Source organism: Homo sapiens, chromosome 16, assembly GCF_000001405.40.
Source record: "Homo sapiens chromosome 16, GRCh38.p14 Primary Assembly".
Taxonomy (NCBI): Eukaryota; Metazoa; Chordata; class Mammalia; order Primates; family Hominidae; genus Homo; species Homo sapiens.
The window spans coordinates 83,682,570-83,708,570 of NC_000016.10; the positions used below are offsets into that span (position 1 = coordinate 83,682,570).

Sequence of the window (26,001 nt, forward strand, 5' to 3'; positions counted from 1 at the left end):
TGTGTTGGCTGTGCGGTCACCACAGTTGCTGCTGTGTCCCGAGAACACGGTCACTTCCTTAACTACCTATCCGGCCTCACTCCTCCTCCTTCCTCTGTCTCTTTGCCTGTCTGTCTCTCTGCTGCTCTGTCTCTTTTTCTCTCCCCACCCCACCATCTCTGTCTTTTCTGACATTCCCTGTGACTCAGCTCCAACAACCCCATCTCATGTCACATTAGTCACCAGGCCCTCGAAACTAAAAGCCCCCATGAGAGACCGGGACCCTGAGATCCTGCAGCAGGGCCTGCCCATCCTAATGGCCACTGTCACCTCCTCCCTGAGGGGGCTCCTTCCATGGTCAACATGGGAAGCCTTCTCCCCAACCCCAACCCCACTGAAACTTAGGAACGCACTTCCAGCTAAGTCCAACTCCTGGGCCACGTCCTGCCTCGCATGAGGAAATGCACTTCTCAGGCACCACTGCTCCTCGGCTGACCGCGGCCAGACACCCTTTCATCTCCCCAGGGAATGCTCAAGTCAGCAAAGGGCGCCTTGATCTCCAAGGAACCTGTGACTACAAAGACAAGGGGTGTCCAAACATCAGAGGGAATCTTCTCACTAAAAAGCCTGGGTTATTAAGACTTGTTAAAAAGCCCTTCACATTGTGTTGTTAGTCAAATCAAAATGAACAGCAGTGGTCTAGTGACAGATGAAATTCTTCTTTTTAATGACTTTTATCTTCTTATCCTTATTATAAAGTTAAGATAGTTTCTGGAAGAAACTTTTGAAAAGACAGGTAAGAATAAGGAAGATAATAAAGTATCTGTCATCATCTCAGACAAGGAAATCCCTTTTCCACAGCTTGGATCTGTCTCCCTCAATCACGTATGTGAGTATTCTGTTTTTCATTACCAAAATTGGCTTGCATTATCCACCCTCAAACCTCACCATTTTTATTTCCCAGTATACGCTGAACAGCTTTCTGTCCCAAGAAATAGCCATTATTTTTCGTCGCTGAATAGTGTGCTATTATTCCATTACAGGGATATACTCATCTGTTTATTTATTCCCTTGTTGTTGACTATTTACATTGTTTACACTTGTTTGCAGTTTTTTAAAACATTAGTGGGTATGCTTATAGTGAAATTGTTTAATGCATCATTAATATCCTGAAGACAAGTCCCTGAAAATACTTTGGTTGAGCAAAAGTATTACTGTGTATTGTTAATGTTTTTTGGCATATACAGAATTCTTTGTTTTTATGTCTAGGCAGTCAAATTTATATTTTCCATCATTTCTAAATTGATGTCACAGTTTAGAAAGTCCTTCTCCTCTCCAAGATCATGTACATCAGGTTCTAAAACAGATCAGGTTCCCACTCTGTCGTCTCCAGGTGAGATGATGATAAGACTTGCTTCCACTTTCAGCGTAGCAACCGTTCCTCCAGGTGCACAAGGTAAAATATCCTGATGATATTCGAGTATCTCTAATGAGGAGAGGACTTATGTAACTGAACTTGTTAGAAAGAGTAACCCAGGCTGGGCACAGTGGCTCACACCTGTAATCCCAATATTTTGGGATGCTGAGGCAGGTGGATCACTTGAGATCAGGAGTTCGAGACCAGCCTGGCCAACATGACGAAACGCCATCTCTACTAAAAATACAAAAATTAGCTGGGCATGGTGGTGTACCCCTGTAATCCCAGGTACTTGGGAGGCTGAGGCAGGAGAATTTCTTGAACCTGTTAAACCTGGGAGGCAGAAGTTACAGTGAGCAGAGATGGTGCAACTGCACTCCAGTGTGAGCAATAAAGCGTGACTCCATCACAAAAAAAAAAAGTAGCCGAAAGATAATTATGCAAAATGGAAGTAACTACATTTGCTAAACCTTCTCCTACAGTGAAATGAAACATGGGAACTAACGCTTCCATCAGATCCCTGATTTGGTTACATTAGGGAGGCAGCCGGCAGCTAAATCCTTCTGAATAGCTGGGAGGACTCACTTCTTTCTCTCTACAATCAAGGGCAACCAAGTAGCAATTCCTATTCCAAACATTTTTCAGACAGAACTCATCTTGCCCAGGATCTATAGTAAACAATTCCACAGCAGAGACTTCTGCCTACACTTTGAATATAGAAGATATGTGTTGAAGAAAAATATTGTTCCTACCCATGTAAAATTTCATATCACTGCTCAACACTTTTTTTTGGAAAGGGTCATTCATCCAGGGAGCCCTGCGAGTATATGTCAAGCATTTTATCTGTGGGGACTAAGTTTGGCTGAACATAACAGGAAAATTCAAAATGACAGTGGCTCAGAGCAGACGGAAGTTGATTTTTTTTTTCTCACATAAAGTAGGTCTAGAGCAGGCATGACAGTTCAGGGACAGTGGCAGCCCCACACGGCCCCACACAGGGTTCTACTTGCTCACTATTTTACCACGTCTAGGCTGGCACCCTCTTCCTCATGGTCTGTTATGGTTGCTAGTGCTCCAACCTTCATATCTGCATTCCAGACAGCAGGATGGGAAATGGAGAAAGAAGAGGGATACTCCCTCTCTTTTAAGGAGACTTTCTGGAAGTCATCCACATTTTTATTTAAATTTTATTGGCCAAAATTGGTCACAGGGCCATACCTAGCTGCAAGGGATTATGGGAAGTATGGTCATTTGACTGGGAAGCAATGTGCATTGTTTTTTAAACCAAGGTTCTTCACTAAGGAAGAAAGGAAGAATGGATAGTGTAAGGTAGATGGCACTTTCTGCCATGAATGCCTTTTTAAATGGAACCTTTCTGCTTAATAAATAACTACAGGGTACATTTTAAAAGGGAAAAATATCCCATGATACTAGATATTTGCATAATCAAAATAATAGATGATGTTGCTAAAGACTAGTGCTAGAGAAGAGCATATGGATTACAGCAATTCATTCATTCATGCCATGGTATTTATGTAGAGCCCACTGTGGGCCTGACGCTGTGCTAGGTGCTGTAAATTCACTGGTGAAAGAAATAGTCTCTGTCTGCAGCCTCCCAGGGAGCTTATCGTCATAAGAGCAAGAACTTTTGCTGCAAATGATGGTGTCCCTATAAAGGAAGAAAGAAAGGGAGAGAGGAAGGGAAGAAGGAATGAAATAAATTGCTTCCTTGGGAACTAAGAACCAATGATCCCAAGTCGAGAAGAAGGAGCAGAGTGGCACAAATTGCTTCTTCCCCTGCACCATGCCCGGCTGACTTTCAGCAGATGGCTGGATTCCGCCAGAAACCCTGCTTTCGTCCTGCCTGTGCACAGGCCTCTGCCTCTAGGGAATAGGGTGCCAGACCAAACTAGGCCAAGATTTTCACAACGCCCTGCAGACATGGGTTTTGAGAATGATGGTAATAATATGGCTACTAGGATGATTAAAATACCTAACATTTTTATGTAGAACTTTACCAAAAGCACTGTTACCAGTCTTCTTGTATTTTCATAACCACCCTGTAAATGAGAACATCTTGTTCTCCCTTTTTACTGATGAGGAGAGAGAACCTCCCTGAGCCGTGGTTAAAGGAGGAAAGCACACAAGCAGGGTTTACAGAGGCTGAGTTAATGTGAATCAGAACGCCGGAGCTTCCTCCGTACCACTGCGCCTACTGCTGATGTTGGCTTAAGGCTTTTTGAACATGTCTTAGTGTAACTTCACCAAGCTTCACACTTCCTCAATCCTTGACATCATTGTCCATCTTCCCACGAGACTTTGTGCTCAGGGAGAGTAACAATCATCTTTATCTCCTTCCCTAATGAGCCACCAGAGCTTCCTCAGTACCATTGAGTTAGTTAAGCACTTTAGGCACAGGACTAAGACCTTCAGACTTTCCACGGGCCTACAAAAATGTCAGGGACCTGAATACATAGTCTATTGACTCCAAAATTCAAAAAGAAAGCAGCAAAATTGAAATTAATAAATATCAACTGCCCACGGCATCATGACAACTTTAGCAGGCTAAACCTAATATTTGCAAAAGTGTCTTTACATTTGCAAACTATTTGTAGCTCTCACCTTGCAAGAACGGTGGATAAATTATAAGTGATTATTAGCAGAATATTTCTTATGGCACAGTAATTCCAAAAGCAAAAGTATAAAAATAATTTCAAACATGTGATAGGAAAAAAATGTATTTTTAGTGTGGGTACATTTTAGTACATTTGATACAGTTTGGGGTGAGGCCACCAAAGACAGAGAAAAATTTTTAAGGGCTCAAATGTCTGGAAACAGCCCAATCCCAGCATAAGGACTGGTGCATGACCAGTGCTCAGTAACCAGGTGGAATAGATTAATGGCAGCTGGGTTGGGGGTGACTGCATGCACACATTTTTCTGCATTAAGTAGACATGGGTTGACCGAATGCGGTGGCTCATGCTTTGTAATCCCAGCACTTCGGGAGGCCAAGGTGGGCAGATCATTTGAGGTTAGGAATTCAAGAACAGCCTGACCAACATGGTGAAACCCCATCTGTACTAAAAATACAAAAAAAGTTAGCCAGGCATGGTGGTGCTTGCCTGTAGTCCCAGCTACTAGGGAGGCTGAGGCAGGAGAATCACTTGAACCTGGGAGGTGGAGGTTGCAGTGAGCCAAGATCGTGCCACTGCCCTCCAACCTGGGTGACAGAGTGAGACTTCGTCTAGAAAAAAAAAATGTAGACATAGCTTGCATTAGTCCATTCTCAAATTGCTACACAGAAATGCCTGAGACTGGGTAATTTATAAAGAAAATGATTTAATTGTCTCATGGCTCTGCAGGCTATATAGGAAGCATGGCAGCATCCACTCAGCTTTTGGGGAGGCCTCAGGAAACTTAAAATCGTGGCAGAAGACAAACAGGGAGCCAGCACTTCACATGTCCAGAGTAGCTGGGCCGAGGTGCTACACACTTTTAAACAACCAGATCACGCAAGAACTCACTATCCCGAAGACGCCACCAAGGAGGGATTGCGTTAACTCCCCTGATCCCATCGCCTCCCACCAGGCTCCAACATTGGAGATTATATTTCAGTATGAGATTTGGGTGAGGCCACAAATCCAAACCACATCATAGGTTTTGTTTTCTTTTAATCTTCAAACATTGACTAATGTCTACCAACCATGAAAACATTTACATTTGGCCTTGTTTTAAACCAATCCCAGGAAGGGTAGCCAGTGCTAGCAGGGAGACTTTAGAAGGATGTGCAGGTCTCTCACAGAACTTTCCAAGTCCATGAAAGTTACATTGAAGAGCCATTGCCGTCAGCCAACCCTTCTTCCGAAGCCTTGATCCAAATTGAGCCTATTCTTTGAACACAGAATATCTGAATCAGATCCAAATTAGATACTCATCTCTTTGAAAACTACAACTGCTTTGTCCTGATTTCTTTGGGGCTCTGTCTTTTTTAAGTCGTTTCCTTCCTCCTCATCTTTCTGACCTGGATGCTTTTTAACTTTACAGTAGAATTCATTCATGCATTCAAACTGGTAAAGAATACAACATAGAATAATGATATTTCAGCCCCAAAAGATTTGTTAAAATGCCCAATTTCCATTTTTACTGGTCTTCCCATGATTCATCAAGTCCTTTTCTTTAACACCTTGTTTAATCTAATATTGGAGCTCATTCAAAGGAAATCACAAAAAATGTTGGGAAATTAAGCAAAAACCATCATTGACTGGCGATGGGACATTTTATTCTGTATCTTCTAAGACCTTTGGAAGAAAAAGGCAAAAATCAGCTCTCTTGAAAATGCAAATTTTGTCATCACTGGCATTCTCAGAAACACAGGGGTTCAAAAATATGTAGTAGCCTACCATTTATTGGGAGGAAGGAGGATTTCTAATCCCAAAACCAGGTTTCAAAACCAGATTTAAGAGTTTAAATTGGGGTGACTCCCACCTTTTAAATTTTAATCAGAAGTTAAAGGCCAAATTGTAACATTTCTACCTGGGGAAATTAAGAGAAGGCCTTCATCTTCTAAACTATATTATTAACACTTCATCTTAATTAAATGTGGTTACTGACCTCAATAACAGGATCTGGGATGAGGTCATTTTTTTGGTTCTTGTTTTTAATGAGTTAAGATTTTTTTCTTTTTTAAGTCAACAAACACAGAGTTTGAAATGTAAATGGATTGTTTACAGTGGTGTCTTTGTAATTTTTAATTAAAGCGGTGTTGTTCCATTGTAAGTTTATGGTAGCAATACATTTTATTGCCTATTCTGCTGTGGAATTTTTAATTATTTATGCAAATATATTAGCACAGATGACTCTTGTTTTTAGTGGTCAGATGTTCTGTTATGAAGATGCTGGGGGAAACAAAGCCTCACAAATTAAACTATGGGATTTTTAAAGTTTTAAGGGCTTCACTGGCTAAAAATAGAATCCTGGCTTTTATAATGATCCAGAGACTGAAGATTTTCATTATTCATGTCAATTAAAGGTGCTCAGTTTGGCTAATATGAAACATCTGGCCGTTTGGGTAAATGGATGAAAGGCTATTTTACAAATCGACCACCTTTTTAACATCCATCTACATATGTTGTTATAAATTTGCCATAGGCCAGACTTTCATTATTGAAAACATGGTTTCAAATTGGCTATATTTGAATATAATTATCAGGGTCCTTCTTGTCAGCCTTAGAAATTAATCCTCAGAACCAATATAGAAAATATTGACAAATGTTAATATTGTTCCTTGACCAATATTTTCTAAGCTGTTAAATCTACTTAGCTTTTTTTTTAATAAACCCATTTGAAATAGATAAGGATTGCTATATAAGCTACTAACATAGCACTGATTGAAAAAGCCACACATTTCAGGATTGCAACAGAAGTCAGTTGCATAGGGAAAATAGCTGATTTATTATCTGAGTTTGTCTATCAATCACTAACACCAGTCAGCCAGCAAGCACGAGGAGCTTATCATGGCATTAACCCTAACACGGGTAATGAAACCACAGGCAGTGAGTCATGTAACTAATTCAAGAAATGCATTTCATCATCTGCTCCCAATCTGCTTTCCAAATGAATCTCAAAGCTTGTATTTTCAAGTGATGAGGCTCTAAACTACAGTCCTCCTACAAATGCTTAATTTGGGGATTTCCTCATGCATTCCAATAGCGTTGGCAGGAATCTCACTAGAAGATCCGACCTTATATGGCTGCTTCTAAGTATTCTTGGGTCCCTGAGTGTAGGCTGCACATGTGAAAGGAGGACCTGGGGATTTGGATTAGGGCTATGACCGGAAAACCTCTCTCTCCATTCATTCATCCCACACCTGCAACATACTGGGTGCTTTTCTAGGCATTGGGGGATAAAGTAGCCCCAGAAACAATTAAAAATATCTGTTGGCCGGGAGCAGTGGCTCACACCGGCAATCCCAGCACTTTGGGAGGCCAAGGTGGGTGGATCACCTGAGGTCAGGAATTTGAGACCAGCCTGACCAACATGGTGAAACCCCATCTCTACTAAAAATACAAAATTAGCCGGGCGCCTGTAATCCCAGCTACTTGGGAGGCTGAGGCAGAAGAACCACTTGAACCCGGGAGGCGGAGATGGTGGTGAGCCAAGATCACGCCACTGCACTCCAGCCTAGGCAACAAGAGCAAAAACTCCGTCTCAAAAAAAAGAAAAAGAAATCTGTTATCATCGAAATCATATTCCTGTGGAAGAGAGAAAATGAATGAGAGAATTAATAAATACAATAAGTAGCATAGTAACTGGTGATTAATGCAAAGAAAGGAAGCAGAGAAGGAAGGAGGGGAGCCATCACTCTAGATAGAGGGTCAGCAGAAGCCTCACCAGTGCTGTGATGCTTCAGTGAAGAATTGGAGGAAGTGGAGGTGAGCCACACAGCTATCCCGGGTGGAGAGGTCCAGGTAGAGGAAGCAAGTGGGAAGGCCCCGAGGCAGAGTGTGCAGGATTGTGCCCAGCGCACAGCAAGTTGGGGGATGGTGGGAAATGAGGCCGATGCTCCGGAGAAGATGGGGAAAGTGTTAAGCATGCTAGTGGGATTAGGAAAGGGGGCAATTAAGGGAAAGGGAGACAGAGGCAGAGCAGAGGACTGGAGTGTAGGGTAGCCATAGTAATCCAGGTAAGAGGCCATATGGGTCTGGGCAGGGATGGTTGCAGTGCAGGCAGTGAGAAGCTGCAGACACTGAATTTGTTGTTGTTGTTTTTATTTTTGAGACAGAGTCTGGCTATGTCTTTCTGGCTGGAGTACAGTGCCACGATTTTGGCTCACTGCTACCTCTGCCTCCCAGGTGCCAGTGATTCTCGTGACTCAGCCTCTGGAGTAGCTGGGATTACAGGCATGCACCACCACACCCAGCTAATTTTTGTATTTTTAATAAAGATGGGGCTTCACCATGTTGTCCAGGCTGGTCTGGAACTCCTGGCCTCAAGTGATCCACCTGCCTCGGCCTCCCAAAGTGCTGGGATAACAGGTGTGAACCACTGGGCCAGGCCCTGAATGTTTTGAAGGTACTGGTGACAGGGATTTGCTAACCAACTGTGCCGTGTGTGTGTGTGTGTGTGTGTGTGTGTGTGTGTGTGTGTGTGTGTGTCAGAGAGAGAGAGAGAGGAATAAAGATTGACTCCAAGATTTTTGTCCCAAACAAATGGAAGCACAGAGGGCACATCTCTGAGCTTTGCAAGCTCGCTGGAGAAGTGGCAAAGTAACTTGTGGGAGGAAAGTACAGGAATTCGGTCTTGTTCTTGTTGAGTTTGAGGTAGACAAAGGGAGCACATGAGCTGGGTATCAGGGGGCGTTTGTGCTACAGATAGAAGCCTGGGTGTCATCAACATCCAGATGGAATTTAAATCCTTGAGACTATGATCCCCAAAGAGGGAAGTGAACGTAGGGCTGTGGCCAAGCCCTGGGACACTCTCATATTGGGAGGAGTGGCCCTGCCTGGTGCTGTTTCACATGAGGCACTGCTTCCTGAGAATCCCCTTACAGCCTTGCAAAGAAAAGTACATAGCCAGCCAGGTGCGGTGGCTCACACCCACCTGGCACTTTGGGAGGCCAGGGCAGGTGGGTCACAAGGTCAGGAGTTCAAGACCAGCACAGTTCCGTACAACGGTGCTGTTAACTTGGCAGCCCGACCGCAAATCAGCATATCCTGAGTCTATGCAGGCCCCAGGGTAGAGTGTACATTGTCCCCAGGAGTCGAACGGACCTGGGCCATCCTGCCTCCTTCCATCTCCTGTCTTCTTTCACTAGCATGTCTGATCCACTTCCCTAACACAGCCAGGCTAGGTTGGCCGCTTTCTGCTATAGCTACACCAAATTGCTCAAGGTTACGATATAGTAGCTGGCATTTACTTTGTCCCAGGCACTGTTCCCTGAGCCTTCTGCATTAGATCACCCCTCATTTCACAGCAACCCTGTGGGTCTCTGATTACCCCTTTTATACAGGGGAAGACAATAAGGATTAGGAAGATTCAGGAAATTACCCAAAGAAATTCACACTCAGATTCACACTCAGGAAATGTGACTCAATGACAGCCGTCGTCACCTCTCTGCTCTTCTGCCTCCCAAACCAAACTGAAGCCAGAGAAGCGTGCCCTGTGTGTGCAATTACCAGACCCAATAGCTTGCTCTCTCCAACTTCTGTTTTTCAGAATAAAATTGTTTGTTCCATTTCTGATTTTAGTTGATGGATTTATGACAGCTTTCATTGCTGATAGCCACAGCAAAAATCATTGCTGCCAGATGCCTGTAAGAGCATGGGGAGGGAGTCTGGCCAGATCTCCATGGACTCAAGGTTGCTCCCTGGACTCAAGGTTGCAGGAGGTCCCTAGGGATGCATTCTTCCCGGCTTGCTCTTTCCATAGCACAGAGGCTCTTCCTGCCATCATCTGATGACAGGGATGGCTTTGCCTGCTGGACATCCACCTGTTGCACGGGTTGATGATGCGAAATGTTTTTACAGACTCCGTCTGTCCCGGTTTCTTTCCATTTAACTCTTTCATGCCCACTTCCCTGTGCATTCTATTCCTGTGATTGCCTTAAGGAGAACAAGGATCTGTCATAAACTTCCTTATTTTGCCAAACTTACTATAGGCAAATAGAGACTTTCGGACTTGAAGGATGTGTTTTCCTTATGGAAGCAAAGGAAACTGACCTTGACTCTTTTTATTTCATCCTAGATTCAGGCTGTCTCTAGAAACTACCCCAGAGCAGCTGCATGGGAAATGGCAGACCCCTGGTCTCTTACAGCCTTGCAAAGAAAAGCACATAGCCGGCTGGGCACGGTGGCTTACACCTGTAATCCTAGCACTTTGGGAGGCCGAGGCAGGTGGATCACGAGGTCAGGAGTTCAAGACCAACCTGGCCAATATGGTGAAACCCCGCCTCTACTAAAAAATACAAAAATTAGCCAGGCATGGCGGCATGCACCTGTAATCCCAGCTACTCAGGAGGCTGAGGCAAGAGAATCACTTGAACCTGGGAGGCAGAGGTTGTGGTGAGCTGAGACTGCACCACTACACTCCAGCCTGGGTAACCGAGTGAGACTCCATCTCGAAGAAAAAAAGAAAAGAAAAGTACATAGCCAAGTGGCCACAACTGCCAGACTAGTGCCAGACTTCCTGAGCACAAATCCCCACTTGTCCATCTTCCAGAAGTGTAACCTTGGGCAGATTTTTAATCTCTCTGGGCCTCAGTGTCCCCACCTGAAACATGGGGAGGAATAGTAATATCTAGATTATGGAGTCACTGTGATGGATACAGAATAAAAGAATTCAGGGAAAGTGTTTAGAACACAGTGCACGGTACATAGCATTAAATTAACTGATTCGCATTTTTAGCAAAATGAGCATAATGCGTAGTCATTTACTAAAGGTGTCTCTTTGAGACTGATAGGGGTGTTTTTCTAGAATATTTGGTTTTCATGCCTTGTGGATTAGTTTATTTTTATTTTCCACAAGCCAGCCCCGGGTACCTCACTGCTTAAATCTCATGATAACAGTCTCTTCCTCATTCCTGGTAAAATCCAAGGGAGCAGATAGGAGTTTCTAAATATTAAGTTTTGCCATCTGCTGTTTGCTTGCCTGTAAGCAAGCACTCAGAGATGACAGTGCCAGTGAATGAATGGCGAACTGCTATTAAATGTAGGAGTTGAACAACTGATTTATGAACGTTTGCAGCTTGGCCCTTTGGTGGAGGTAGGCTTGATTTTGCAATTTTTCTAGAGCACACATATAACTAGTCATATTTTCTGCTAGTAAAACTGTTCCTAGTTTGGGCATTGGGATTAAATTTATCAGTATTTTAAGATGCTCTGCAAAGTACCTCACACTATGCAAATAACACCATGAGTTGTAGATACTCTGTCACCCAAACAAGTTTAGGATCTGGTTGAATGTTTGAAGTGAAATGAATCAGAGGAGACTGTTCCTGTGAGCAAAAGAGGACGTGACAATTCAGAACCTCTAATCATACCTAGTCCACTATCTGTCAGGATTCATGGTCACAAGCAACAGAAACCAGCATGGGCTATGTTAGGTGGAATAAAACAAGAACAGACAGGGTTGACATTAGGCATCACAGAATGGATAGAAAACCAGAAGACAGACTGGAAAAAATGAGTAGCCGCCAGATAGAACTCAAGGGGAGGGAAGGAGGGATTAGGGACCACCACAAAGAGAACAGCTGAGTTCTCATGTTAGGCTTCCCATGCAATGAACATGACCTGTGTTCACCCCCACATCACTCATGCAAGAGCATCCAGTTTGCTGGAGTTGTCTCATGTCCCATATCTACTCCTGCTGCAGTGGGAGAGAATGGGAGTGGGTTACTACCTCCCACCAACACTGCACAAAACAGGGTTTTCTCCAAAAGAGGGGTTGGGATGCTATGAGGGATGATAAAGGATGGGGAGCAGTCAGGAATGAGAAACATCCACTCCAAAACCCTTCCACAAGTGTGAGTCTTCCACAGTGCTCGTGATGACCTCCACAGCAGACTTGCTGTTATGACTGTCCCCAGCTGCCCTCTGTGAGGATGGGTGCTTATGAGGTGAGAGGTAAACATTTGCATATTCAGTTCCCACACTAAAGAGTGTCTCTGTCACAAAGCAGGAACAGGTGACATGGGCCAGCAACCAGGTAAATCTCTGCAGGGCATGAAGAGCCAAGAATGCTACAGAACAGGGCTGTGGCTTGCAGAGGGCAGGGTGTGGCTCTGGGCAGACCATCAGGGCAAGAGAAGGCACTCTGCCCCAATACCTCCCTTTGGGCTGGACTAGGGAGAGTCAAGCCAGGCCCTCATCTTGGTCATAAGCTTTAAGGGGATACCGAAAAACTCAATCATCCAGATAGATGTTTTAATGCAGTATTTTAAAAATCAAAACTAATGCAAAAATTAGCCAGGCACGGTGGTTCACGCCTATAATCCCAGCATTTAGGAAGGCTGAGGTGGGCAGATCACTTGAGATCAGGAGTTCGAGACCAGCCCGGCCAACATGATGAAACCCCGTCTCTATTAAAAATACAAAAATTAGCCAGGTGTGGTGGCGCGTGCCCATAGTCCCAGCTATTCAGGAGGCTAAGGCAGGAGAATCGCTTGAATCCGGGAGGTGGAGATTGCAGTGAGCCAAGATCATGCCACTGTACTCCAGCCTGGGCAACAGACTGAGACTCTGTTTCAAAAAAAAATTATTGCAAAAATTCATAATAAGCAAAATACCAGCTTTTTAAGTAAAGCAGGATCATTGTTACTGATTTTTCATTTTGTGTCCAGCTCACATATGACTCAGCATGGCGCTGCTGTGCGCAAGCTCCTTTTCCTCTTTGGGCCCATTTCTTCTTCTGTAAACTTAAATAGGATCGCAAATGCTGTGACTCTGTGGATCCCTGGATCAAGAGTAGAAATGAGTTCAACCTGCGTGGCAGATGCTCTGGGCCAAGCCTGTGCCTACAACCTGGTGGACTAGGCGAAAGCAGGTGCCCTTTCTGCAACAGACAGTTAGCAATGTTGAGTAAACTGTGACCCTTTCACCCATGGAAACCCACAGCTAGGCTCCAAAGAAAAAGAAGATAAATCTCTGAATTTAACAAATAACTAGAATATAAAATAGTTATGTTTAAAATGATTAGGGGAAAAGAATAGGGGCCAGGAAGAAAGGATAAAACATAATGAAATAGAAAAGGCAGATGTGAACAGTAACTAAATAGAAAGTCTAGAAATCTGATAGAGCATTATCTCATTAATACTTCGGACACAACTGTGAGATGGGTGTGATCATCCCTGTTCTATAGATGAGGAAGGGAGGTCGAACCTTTCGTGAGTGAAAGAGACGGAATTCAAATCCAGATATATTTATGCCAAAGAACTTTTTTTTTTTTTTTTGAGACTGGGTCTGTCTGTCACCCAGGATGGCCTGCAGTGGTGCAGTCTCGGCTCCCTACAACCTCTGCCTCCTGGGCTCAAGGGATCCTCCCACCTCAGCCTCCTGAATAGCTGGGATCACAGGCATGCACCACCATGCCCAGCTAATTTTTCTATTTGTTTGTAGAGATGGGGTTTCGCCATGTTGCCCAGGTGGTTCTCAAACTCCTGGGCTCAAGCAATCCACTCGCTTCTGCCTCCCACAGTGCTGGGATTACAGACGTGAGCCACCACAACTGGCCTCAAGGAACTTCTCAACAGGGAAACATTTCTTTCCTTTGTTTTGCAAGAGAAAACACTATTTTTTTAAAAAGTCATGCTCAGTAGAGTGTGCAGGTTCGTTAAACACCTGTGATATCTTTTTATAATTCTGTGTAAGATGGGGTCTTCATGTGCAGCGGGCCCATTTCATCTCTGTTCCCCATTCATTCATGTTCTTTGTGTCTGGGGCTTCTTTTGAAATCTGTAAAGGTGGGAGGACCAGGGAATCCAATAGAGTGAGCACATGAAGAGACGTCCTTCAAGCCCACACTGGATCCACCTGGAACTCCCACCAGGGAGTTCACTGGGAGTGGGGACTTGGCAGCTGCCAGGGAGAATTCTTAGGCAAGTGGTTACTGTTTGATGCTTCACCCTAAAGTTATAAAGATGCAACATTTTACAGCTCAACAAGTAAACATTTCCCAAATACTTAAAACATAGATTACCTAGTCACTGGTAAAACACAGCAACTGGCCTTCATCTCCAAAATATATCTAGAATCTCCGCAGTTCTTGCAACTGCACTACATAAACTTTGTCTAAGCCACCACCATCGTTCACCCAGATGACAATAATTGCCCTAACTTGTCTCCCATTCTTACAAGGCACCATCCACATCGCGGTGATCCTCTTAAACTGAAGCTCAGATCCCGTCTCTCCCCTGATGAAGCCCTTCAGTGCCTCCCATTTCACACTGAAGTAAAACCCAGACCCCCTGCCCTGGCCCAGGAAGCCCCTGGCTGGCCTCGGTGCTGAGCTTCCTCTCCTCTCGCTCCTCTGGCAGTCTCTCCTCCAACCACACGGCCTTTCTTCCTCAAACTTCTTTCCCATTCAGGAACTGTGCAAACATCATTCCCTCTGCCTTGAATTCCAGTCGATCCTTATTATTCACAAATTCCATATTTGTGAGCTCACCCACTCAATAAAATGTATTTGTCACCCCAACATTAATACTCATGGCGCTTTCATGGTTATTCTTGGAGGAGTGCAGAACAGGGAAAAATTTGAGTTCACCTGACGTGCACATTCACAGTTGAGCTCAAACAAGGCCTTCTTTTGCTTTGCCTTCTTATTTCAGCTCTCATAGTACAAATAAGTGCCCTTTTTGTGATCTGTTTAGTGCCGTGATTTTTATTTTTGCACGTTTTGTTCGCAATTTTGCTGTTTGAAATGGCGTTGAGCACAGTGCGGAAGTGCTGTCCAGCGTCTCTGGGCACAGAAGGCTGCGCCATGCCTTACAGAAGAAACAGGTGTTAGGATAACCTTCCTTCAGGCATGAGTTACAGCTCTGCTGACCGTGAGTGCAATGTTAGTGATCAACTGTATACGTTAAGGAAGGTGTGTTTAAGCAGAAGTGCACATAAGATAAGGCCGTGTATTGATGAGTTGACAAAAATGTTGTGACCAGAGGCTTGAGGAAACCTAACCGTGTATTCTTCCCGAGAGCAATGGTTTTTGAGACAGAGTCTCACTCTGTCACCCAGGCTGGAGTGCAGTGGTGCAATCTCGGCTCACTTCAACCTCCACCTCCCACGTTCAAGCAATTCTCCTGCCTCAGCCTCCTGAGTAGCTGGGATTACAGGCATGCGCCACCATGCCTGGCTAATTTTGTGTTTTTAGTAGAGATGGAGTTTCACCATGTTGGCCAGGCTGATCTCAAACTCCTGGCCTCAAGTGGTCTGCCCCGCCTCGGCCTCCCAAATTGCTGGGATTACAGGCGTGAGCCACTGCACCCAGCCTACAGTAGTTTTATAGGACATAGCTATGGTGAGTAACAAAGATCAAGTGTGCTTGCTTGCCTGAACATTCACTACCTGTCTCCCCACACTAAACTGTAAACCCCTTGAGGGCACGGACCATGTTGGTCTTCAAGTGGGCCTGGCAAATAATAGGCACTCAATACATGTTTGTTAGTTAACGAATGAATTGCAAATAAATTATTTCCAAAGACAGTTTTTAACCAGGCTGTACTGTACAGGACTGTAGTGTGTCCTGTTCAGGAGTTAATATTTAATATGTCTTTGCAAAGGATAACAAAGGATTTCCATCAGGGACTGACTTTAATATAAAGAGTGCAAATGAATGCTAATTAAATATCTTCACTTAATTATTATTTGATGCACTTCCTTGGTTTGGGCCTCCCCTTTGGGCTTAAAAAGATACAAGAAACTGCTTCTGTTTCTTTACTTTCTCCCAGTGTCACTGACTAGGCACCGTTGGCTTTGATGAACCTCCCTGAGGCCACCATGGGGAGATGGTGTTGCCTGGTTCCCAGTGCTGAGGCTCTCAAGACACTGCTTTCTTGGAAAGTTGATGCGGCCAGGAGCATCTGTTTTGTGCTTCCTCCTGGGCAGACAGGGGCTGCTCTTGGAAGTCCATTCTGCTTCTTGCTAACTCACACAGGCGGTATGAGGAGGATGCTTAGCCCTAACTGATCTTATGATCTAGCCTGGAACACTGAGAGCTGGGTTTGCTAACAAGCCGGGTCAGTAACCCCAACCTTCTTACTTCAGTCCAGCGTCTTGCCCTGTATTGTCTTCTGTTAGAGCACGGTTGGCAAGTTTCTTCTATAAAGGGCCAGATGATAAACAATATAGGTTTTATGGACCACACAATCTGTGTCTCAGCTACTCAACTCGACCATCGTAATCCAAAAGCTGCCACATCTGTGAATAGGCATGGCTGTGTTCCAATAGAACTGTGTTGACACAGGGAGTCAGAGGGCCAGATTTGGCCCATGGGCCATAGTTTGCCAACCCCCATGGTACACCCCTACCAGCATTATGGTATCTTCATTTGTGTGTGTTCTACTCTGTGCTGCGAGCTCTTTAGGGGAAGGCCTGAATCTCATCCAGTGGTTTCCTCTCAACATCTTGTGTAGTGCCTGCCCCGTGACAAGCCCTCGGCCAATGTTTGCTAAATGCATGACTTATAAGACATGGCCCCCAAAGCACGGGCATTGTGAAACATGCTAACCAGATGAAAGGTGACCTAAGCCCCAGTGGCAGCCCATTCATCATCATTCTGCCTCCTGTTGCCAATATTCAAAATAGCACCAGTTGTTTTTCTGTCAACAAATCAAAATAATATTCCTGCATTTGTTCAACAAACAGCCACTGAGTGTGGGAGCAGCATCCAGATGTCAGCTGGGATCTGCCTGCCTTTGAGAACTAAATAAATATGTGATAAGTTGATAAGTCCTGACTGCATGCCCCGTAGCAGCCCAGAGGCTTCCCAAGATTTCTGCAAATTCCAGAGGATTGGAGAAGGAAGCCTTGACTTTCCAGAGGTCACATCTGGCTTCAAGCTTCCACTTCTGCAAGCTAGTTCCATTTCTTAGCTGTCTCAATCTCCTGCCTGTGCCAGCCTGTGGCATCCCATGTCGCCCTTCTCCCCAGTCCTCCCTTGGCACACATATGCACACACACGTGTATGTGCACACGCACATACACACACACTCACTGTCATCAGAATTGGTTGCATGTGATCTAACTCACTGAGGATGTTTAGAGGCATGGAAAGGGCAGTTACATCACATCACATCAAACAACTTCAACCTGAGACCCTGGAAAGCCCTCGATTTTCCATCCTTCTCAGCATCCCATCCGTCTGTATTTCTCACAAGGCACATCATCCCAGCATGTACCCAGCCTCAGCACATATTGGGACTCTTCTCTCCAATTTCTCCCTCTCCTCTGCACTTTCTCTTTTTAAACAGCTCCATGGAGATGTGATTGACATGCAAAAGTGCACAAGTTGATGAGTTCTGACATATGTGCACTCCCTTGACGCTATCACCGTGATCTAGATCGTGCATGTGTCTAGCATCCTCAGAAACGTCCTGGACTCCTTTGGCATCCTCCTTTCTGCCCCTCCTTTCCTTTACCTCAGCCCCAGGCAACCACTGATCTGCCTTCTGTCATTGTAGATTAGTGTACATTTTGTAGAGCTTCATATAAATTGAATCATAAAGTATGCCCTCTTTTTTGTCTGGCTCCTTCTGCTCAGCACAATTATTGTGGGATTCATCCGTGTTGTCACCTGTGTCACCAGTTACACAGAGACAAAGACCTTCTGCAGAAAGATTCAATTCTATGCAGTCCCCACCTCGAAAGAACTTCAGATTCCCTTTTAACAGACGGAAACATGCCAGAAGACCAAAAGGGCTCTCTGTCTTTAGAAACCCATGGTTGTTAAATAGCCATTTTTCTCCCGATTAAAAATAGCTATTTTTCAGTTGCCTCAGCAGCTGCTTAATAAGCACCTACTATGTGCCAGGCACTGTTGTTAGGGACAGAGTGGGAATCAGGAAAACATGGCCTTCCTCTTGGGGAATGATCAGAGAATGGGCAGGTGAACTGCTAAAAAGTTGCAACAGGTGTACATATATTTCTTTTGTTTACAGGTTTTGGGAATGCAATCCCATATTTCCTTTTTTTACACATTGAAGTACTTTTTTATGAGCAATGCATGCTCGTCACAAAAAAATTAACAAACATGGAGCAGCATAAAGAAGTAAATTAAAAATCACCTTTAATCCCACTGCCCAGATATGGCCACCATTATATTTCATTTTGTTAATTCCACAGGCGAGGAGTAGAGGAATATGTTTTGTTTCATTTTGTGTAATTAAACGGGCCACGGGAACTACTATCAGCTTCCTGGGGAGCTGAGTTGTGTTTATTTTTTTTAAGAGCTACTAATTTTTGATTAACAAGGATGAATGTAATGTTTAAGAGGAATCTATTTACACCCTCTTCCCCTTCTCAATAAAACAACATTCTTCCCCACCAAGTGTGGAGTCGAGACTCTGAGGATGTATGGCCCTGAGCTGGGGGATTCTAGGGACATTTTTCATGTCACTACCTAGACAGTCGTGTGAGTGCTCCAGCAGTGAGGGATCTCGGCTGCAGGTTACATTCCTTGCCGAAGCCAGGGCTGGATGATAATTCACTTTGTCATTACTTAATTCTGTGATGGCTGAAACGACTGAGCCAGAATAAAACTCTCAGTCCCTGAAAAGATGAGAGACTCAGTGTCAGGATGTTTAGGAACAGAAAAAGCAAGAGGGCAGCCGAATGGGGCCATCGGGTGGCTGCATAAAGAAGTCTGATGATGGATGCAGCGCTCCCAATTCATTTCTTTTCTAAATGACATATTTGTATGTTTCCTTCATCATTTCATTCGGTCCACACGTATCCATGCGGTGCACTCTGTGTGCCAGTCATAGAGGCCACATCCGGTCGTAGGCCGTACCCCATGCACAGCTGTCCTCTTGGCACAGTTGACTGAACATGCTTTCGCCGTGTGGGAGACTGAAGCTATATCTGTTTGAGCTACAACTAAAACCCTGGAGTCTCTGCATGCCTTTGCCAACATCTGGTGGTTCCCCAAATGTGTCAGGTTCTTCTCTGCCTCTGTGCTAGGGTTTCTACCCTGACCGCCACCCAACAACCCCTGCGCCCTTATCCTCTCTTCTTCCTCAGGACGTTACTACGATCCAGCCCCACTTCAGCACCACGGTCAGCACCCACCAATTGCCCAGCACTCCTGCTACTGGGTTGCTAGGTATTTCGCACATCAGCCCTTCTCTGTGCCTCTGCCCAGTTTGCTTCCTCTGCCCTCTCTCCCTCCAAATAACAGCTGCCTGGCTAATGTCTGCGTATTTGCTGGCAGCAGAGTAACACTGAGGTTGATGTCCAGCTCTGCCATTGAGGGTTGTGGGACTTTGGGTAAGTTACTTAACCTCTCCAGACCTCATTCTCTCCAGGTGTAAAGGGAGATAATACCTAGAGGATTAAATAGGCTAATCTAGCAAAGCTCTTAGCACAGTGTCTGGAACATAGAAAGAACCCAATACATATTAACTATTATTGTAATCTGTCAAGAATCATCCCAAATATACCTTGTGCTAAGAACCTTTCCTCATCATTTCCTTGGGGTGTAATACAAAAATCTGACGTATTCCAGAGGCTTGGATACCCTCCTTGGTACTCACTTGGCATAGCTTCCATCACACTGTATTTTGTAATTGCTCATGAGTGTGCTAGTTAGGATAAGTAATAATAGCTTCTGTGATAGATAACCCCTCAAATCTCAATGGCTTAACACAAAACTACATTGCTCACTCCTATTACAGTCGAACTGCAGATGGTGGGGTGGGATGGCTCTGCTCCATAACGTTCAGAGATCCTTGGCACCTTCCATTTCATGAGGCTGCCTCTTCAAGGTGTAGCCTCCAGGGTTGCTGTGGAAGGGAAAGAGAGAGCAAGGAGGGTCTTGCAGGGGGTTTGCAGCCAGGCCCAGAAGTGACATTATCACATCTACCAACTTTGCTCTATCCTAATCTAGCTGCATTAGAAACTGAGAAGTTCAGCCCGCCTGTATGTTCAAAAAGAAGATAAAATTATCTCTGACCACAGGAGTGCTTCTCATCTCCCCACCAGGCCATGAGATGCTCAAGGTCGGTGGCCATGTGCCTTGGGTCTCTTATCCAGTGTTAGCTCCCTTCTGCATTCCCTGGTCACCTCCAGAGCTGAGCAGGTGGCACTGTGGGGAGGGGCTTTCCAAGCACAGATGATAGGAGATGCAAAGGTACAGAGGGTCTGGGAGAAAACTGGCCGCTTCAGGGAACCACAAGCCACAGCAACATTTGCTTGGGCTGCACACATATTACTGCATAAAAATAGCTCGTTACCACCTTAGCATAGGATGCATGTGGAGGTGGGGCAGGGATGAGCCAGGGCAGCCCAGGAGAGCAGAGCTTACAGTCCTCTGGGTAGAGGCCAGCATTTCTGATCCTGTCTGCCTCTGCTATGGAGCCTATGTTTCCTTGGTTCCAATGGCAAGGCTAACAAGAGCGTTCCTCCTTGGGTCATGTATCTCTTTGAATAGAGCTGCATCCCTAAGCCAAGGAAACATATTGTATTGAGTAGTGCTTTAAAGAACAGGCAAGGAATGGAAATTGGCATAAACTTTCTAAAAGACACGCTGCAGTATGTATTAACTTTTTTCCAACAGTCACACTCTTCCATACCCGTAATTTCATTCCTAGGAATATATCTCGAAATAATCAGAAATGGTGTCAAAAATGTATACACTCAGGAAACAGATTTATGTGCGGAGTTGTACACTGAAGCCTTATTTATGGTAGCAAAAAGTTAGAAAACAGCCCCAGTGTCCAACAATAGGAGGCTGGATAAATATATTACAGAGTTGCCATATGATGGAATAATATGCAGTGATTAAAATTTTTGAAGCCAGGAGAAATTGTTTCTGATATAAACTGAAGTGACAAAAGTGGGACATCCAAGTTGGTAAACGGTACGATTCCAATTATACAAATCACACGTGGAGAAGACTTTGAATAAAATGTCTAAGGATAGGAGCGGGCTTTCAGGCTCCTGGAATTATTTGGTGATTTTTCATGTTTTCTTCACACTGTCTTGTATTATCAAGTTGTTAATGTTGAACACATACATTACTTTTATAAACAGAAAAGTACTTTTTAAGAAACAAGGGGCAAGGAGACTAAGAAAACCATCCTTTCTTGGCAGACTCCCTCAGAGGTACTATGTTTCTTTTCTACAGTTCTCTCAGGACTCAAATGCTTGCCTAGACCAACATGCCTCTGACTCCATAATAGGCACGAACTCGCAATTACTCCCTGGTACACAACCTTTTCAGCCACCGTAACATCCATTCAACTGCACAAAATATGTCATCTAAAACCTCATCCAGATAACCCTGCACATTGCACTTTTTTATATATGGAGAAATGAAAAAGGCTTTTTGCTTTGTAAGTTCCATAAAGACATTTCTTGGCATCTAGAAAATGACAAGAACCCTTCAACCCAGACTTCACCTCACACCCATCCCTAACTTTGGTTACAGTTCAAAAGTGTTCATGGAAGTTTGAAAAGTGGTTTCCCTTTTCACCTGAAGCTGTGATTTCCAGTGTGGTCTGGAGGAGAAAACTGCCTCGAAGGAAGCTAAGGGATAGAAAGGTGTTTTCAATGTCTTCTCTTAGGTGGGGTTTTCATTCAGTCAGGTTAGGTTGTTAAGGCAAGAGAGATAATGAACAAAAATAACAATCTTACCCTCAAAGATACAATAAAATGCACTCATGTTCTCATTTCGATGCCAGAATATGAACACCGAGATGGTTCTCCAACTCCCATGCACCAAGCCCCTTACAAGCTTAGACTCGGGTCAGGTCCTAGAAAAGAAAGTTTAGGGTGTTTAGGGAAATGTTTGCAGTGTACCCAGTGAGTGGATTTAACCAAATCTGTATCTCAGAGCAGGCACCACTCCCATATCCCACCAGGAAGCCATTGTGAGATATAGTCTGCCCACAGCCCCGCTGCCACAGGCTCCAATGCCAGGGAAAGCTGTGTCTCCCCATCAGTGCAATTCTAAGAATTAAGTACTCCTTCCTTGCCAATTACATGGTCACTATCCTTAGAATTGAATTTAAGCTCTGATAGAAAATTGTTGAAAGCCTTCAGTGCTCATTTTTCACCAAACTGAACTCTATAATGGTACTACAATAGAAAAAAAATTTCCAAAGTTCAATTGGAATTTTTTCCCAGTAACTTAATAATAAGGCTCCAATTTCAGGAAAATAGTTTCAGCATGAGTGAAATCACACTGTTTGTTATGCAGCATCAAAGCTGTCCTCCAACACAGGGCAGAGGCCAGTGCTCCCTGGAGTTGAACTCCAACAATCATTTAAAAACTTTTGTTTCCAATCATTTAGAAACTTGTAGATTTTTCTGGCAACATCCAAGAATAAGTTATCTCACTTAGATGAGTTTTCTGTGAAACTGAAGCTCACCACTTCAAGTGCTATATCTTTCTATATATTGACTTCATTTCTAAAACATAGGTTTCCCCGATTCTTAAATAGAGTATGGGAAAGGAATTTAAGGTCATTTGAGGTAATCATTCTTATAGGTTAATAAGTGAACCAAGACAATGCTTTACCTGATTTTGAGTTTTTTCTGTCTTTTATGCTTTCATACAAAATGTCATGCTCTAATCACTAAACCTGACTCCAGAAATCCACCTGGAAAACAAAGTAGACAACCAAGCTTTTTGAGAATTTTGACTTTTTTAAAAAAAGAAAAAGAAGCCCGGGCCCGGTGGCTCACGCCTGTAATCCTAGCACTTTGGGAGGCTGAGGCGGGCAGATCACGAGGTCAGGAGATGGAGACCATCCTGGCTAACACGGTGAAATCCTGTCTCTACTAAAAATACAAAAAATTAGCCGGGCATGATGGTGGGCGCCTGTAGTCCCAGCTACTCGGGAGGCTGAGGCAGGAGAATGGCGTGAACCCGGGAGGCGGAGCTTGCAGTGAGCCGAGATCACGCCACTGCACTCCAGCGTGGGGGCCAGAGGGAGACTCCGTCTCAAAAGAAAAGAAAAAGAATGATATTAGCAGGAAGAGAGAATTAAGCTTTATTGAGCAACTACTAAGTGCCAGGCATTTTTCTGTGCATTTTATCATTTCATCCTTCAAACAACCCTAAAGCTGACCTTACTGTCAAGCATTCACCATTCATTCTACATCTGACTCTCAGGAGAAGAGGAGGGAATGTTGGGTCAAGTGATCCCCAGGGTTCCTTCAAGCACCAACAATCTCTATGTCTCCCATCCTAACTTAAATTTTATAAAACAAAGGATTTGTTTAGGTGGGAGAGTAGATAAGTCTGCCCTAGGGCTGGTTGCCTCTTTCAGCCCCCATTCATGCATAACAAATCACACACAAACTTAGTGACTGGAAACAACATCGTTTTCGTGTCTCTGTGGTTTTAATGGCTCAGGAATGTGAGCAGGGCACACTGGGAGCAGCCTATCTCTGTGCCTCAATGTCTGAGGCCTTAGCTGGAATCCCCAAGGCCTGGGAGCTGATGTCATCTGAATGCTTATTCAGTTGTTTATCTGGCAATTGTTGATTGCTGTCAGCCAGAACATCTACTTGTGGCCTCTCCACGAGGCCTGGGCTCTCTCACAACATGGCGGCCAGGTTCCAAAGGTGAGCATCCCAAAAGCCAGCTTGCAGTGGTTTCTCTTTCGCCTTTTATGATCCAGCCTCAGAAATCATACAGTGTCACTTCTATTGCACTCATTCATGAAGGCCGTCATAAACGCTAACCCACACTCTAGGGGACAGGAACTAGACTCCACCTGTGAACGAGAGGAGCGTCAGAAATATTAGCATGGCCATTTTTGGAAAATGCTATAGAGCCAAAGTCTGCATGAAGAGAGAACAGATTGGGAATCAGAGGTACCTGAGTTCAGATTCCAGCTTCATTGCTCATTAGCTCTGTGGCATGGGGAAATCAGTGAACCCTTTACTGCTGTGTTATTTGTAAAATGACTGTGATTGCTGACTGATTATGTCAGGCTATACAATCATTTCTTTGGTTGCAAGCCATGGAAACCAAACCTTATGAAGAGAAGAAAACACATATGCAGGCATGTGTGTGCACACACACACAAGACATAGAGAAGCAAAGAAAAATAGGATGAAGCAAGCTTCAGGAATGCCGGAAAAAGCTGCTTCAGCGATCTAGGTTCCTGGGATGAATGGATGATATTTTTAGGCTCTCACGATCAGGACAAATCAGCTCCAAGTATTTTCCATCCTTATGTCTCTCTGAAAACATTGTACGCTCCCAGCATATTAAGTCCTGGGTGGCCTGTCTTGAGTCGGACTCACTTCATCCCTTCACTATAGGAGAGAGAGGCACCATAATGGAAAGTCTCAGCAAGGCTACATGAAGAATGGGGTAAACTCATGGGAAAATGCAGGTGTCCCCACAAAGAAGGAGAAATGGATAAACAGCACATCTACTCTGGACATTTGCAGGACTAAGAAGGATACAAGATGGAAAGCAGAATATGGGTGTACTGTTCCCGCTTCCCAATATGCCATGCATGTTCACGCTCCAGAACTTGACTGTCAGTCACTCTTCCTAAAATATTTCCCTTCCTGCCTCCACCCATCACAATCCTGTTGGTCTTTCTAGGTCAGTTTCAAATACTGCATGGTCCGTAACACTTTCGGTGAGTAGGAAGTAATCTCTTTCTCCTTGAATTCCTCCATTCTATTTTATAACTTTCTTAGGCCATTATTACCTCCTTCTTTGTCTTAGCCATTTCCATTTTGCTTTATCCAAACATTTCCAAACACCAGGCACCTTCATCTCCTGTAACCTATCTGCTCTCTGTGTACTGTCATTCACTGAATGCTTTTAAGTTGACTTTAATTTGACTTGTCTTTCTTTTAACTTAGCAATAATATCTGTGATATGCCAGCTATATTTTTACCATTCACTTTAAAACAAATATTATTGAAATGTTTAAAATAATTGCTGATCCCCTGTTCTACTACTCTTCCCTATTCTGGCTGAGTTCCTATAAGACAGAGATCAGCTCTTAGATTCCCCGTGTATCATATCCCTGACATGCCGCACTGTGCTATTGATCTGGTGGCCGTTCAATAAAAAGTCATTGAGTGAACAAATAGAAAGCGAGAAAGAGGGAAGGAGAAAGAGTGAGATGAAATAATGAAGTTAAAGTGAACTGAGTGGGACTCATCTTTGGTGAGAGACCCTAAAGGCAAAAAAAAAAAAAAAAAAAAAAGAGCTGGGAAAGTTGAATTTTGAGGAGAAGGCAAGAATACTTTATTTTCCTTCTACCCTAATGACACCTTCTCTTTGGACTCATCCTCCTGTGAGTTGGCAAGGGGAATGGGGAGCAGCTTAAGCAGCAGCTGCCACCATGACCATTATTCCCAAGCAACTTGCCCAGGGCACCAGAAGGCATGAGCTCCATGTTTCCCAGCCAAGGCTCTTCCAGCCAGCAGTGCTGATGGGAAGAACAGGCAAGCCAGAGTGCCTTATCAAGTGCAAGACTCACCACCCATAGAGGATCCACCCAAAGCCACCGGGAGAACCAACACATCCCTGCAGACGACAAAAGCGTCCTTTTGCTCATGGCCACATGCCTTGCAGCACAAGCTCCTCTCAAATACTTCCCAGGACCTCACCGTAAGGGACAGTCAACCAGACGTGTGCTTCCACATGTTCTTCAAATGTGTTTTTCATTTGCTTGGGTTCAACCTCATTATAATGGCATTAGCCAGAGGAGGTAGCATGGTGGTTCAGGTTTCTGGAAGTGGGGTTAAGCCAGTCCTTTCACTTTCTTAACTGAAATTCCCCAACGCCCTTGGCTTACTCACCCCTCAGCATGCTTTGTTCTCTTTCTGTCTTTTTCTGTCTAGGTTCTCTATCATGAGTGTCCTCTTCTCTGAATTCATAGCCTTTGTGGCCTCTCTTCCTGCTAACCATGCTAG

The 26,001-nt window shown here is 44.3% G+C and overlaps 1 protein-coding gene and 1 long non-coding RNA gene across 6 annotated transcripts in view, besides 1 other annotated feature; one reads left to right on the forward strand and one right to left on the reverse strand.

The window, feature by feature from the left end:
* Positions 1-25,266, reverse strand: part of LOC124900603 (uncharacterized) — a 42,544-nt gene extending 17,278 nt beyond the window's left edge. Inside the window, exon 1 of the long non-coding RNA XR_001752385.3 lies at positions 21,739-25,266. This is a non-coding gene — a long non-coding RNA (uncharacterized LOC124900603). The remainder of the gene's footprint in view (positions 1-21,738) is intronic.
* CDH13 (cadherin 13) overlaps positions 1-26,001 on the forward strand; it is a 1,173,672-nt gene that overhangs the window by 1,055,601 nt on the left and 92,070 nt on the right. The gene's annotated exons all lie outside the window — the stretch shown is intronic.
* Positions 341-841: an enhancer, noted in NCBI's record as "NANOG-H3K4me1 hESC enhancer chr16:83716515-83717015 (GRCh37/hg19 assembly coordinates)". NCBI's record gives its function as "activates a minimal SCP1, AML or CMV promoter by ChIP-STARR-seq in naive H9 embryonic stem cells {active_cell/tissue: H9 hESC(naive)}" and the evidence as "EXISTENCE:reporter gene assay evidence [ECO:0000049][PMID:30033119]".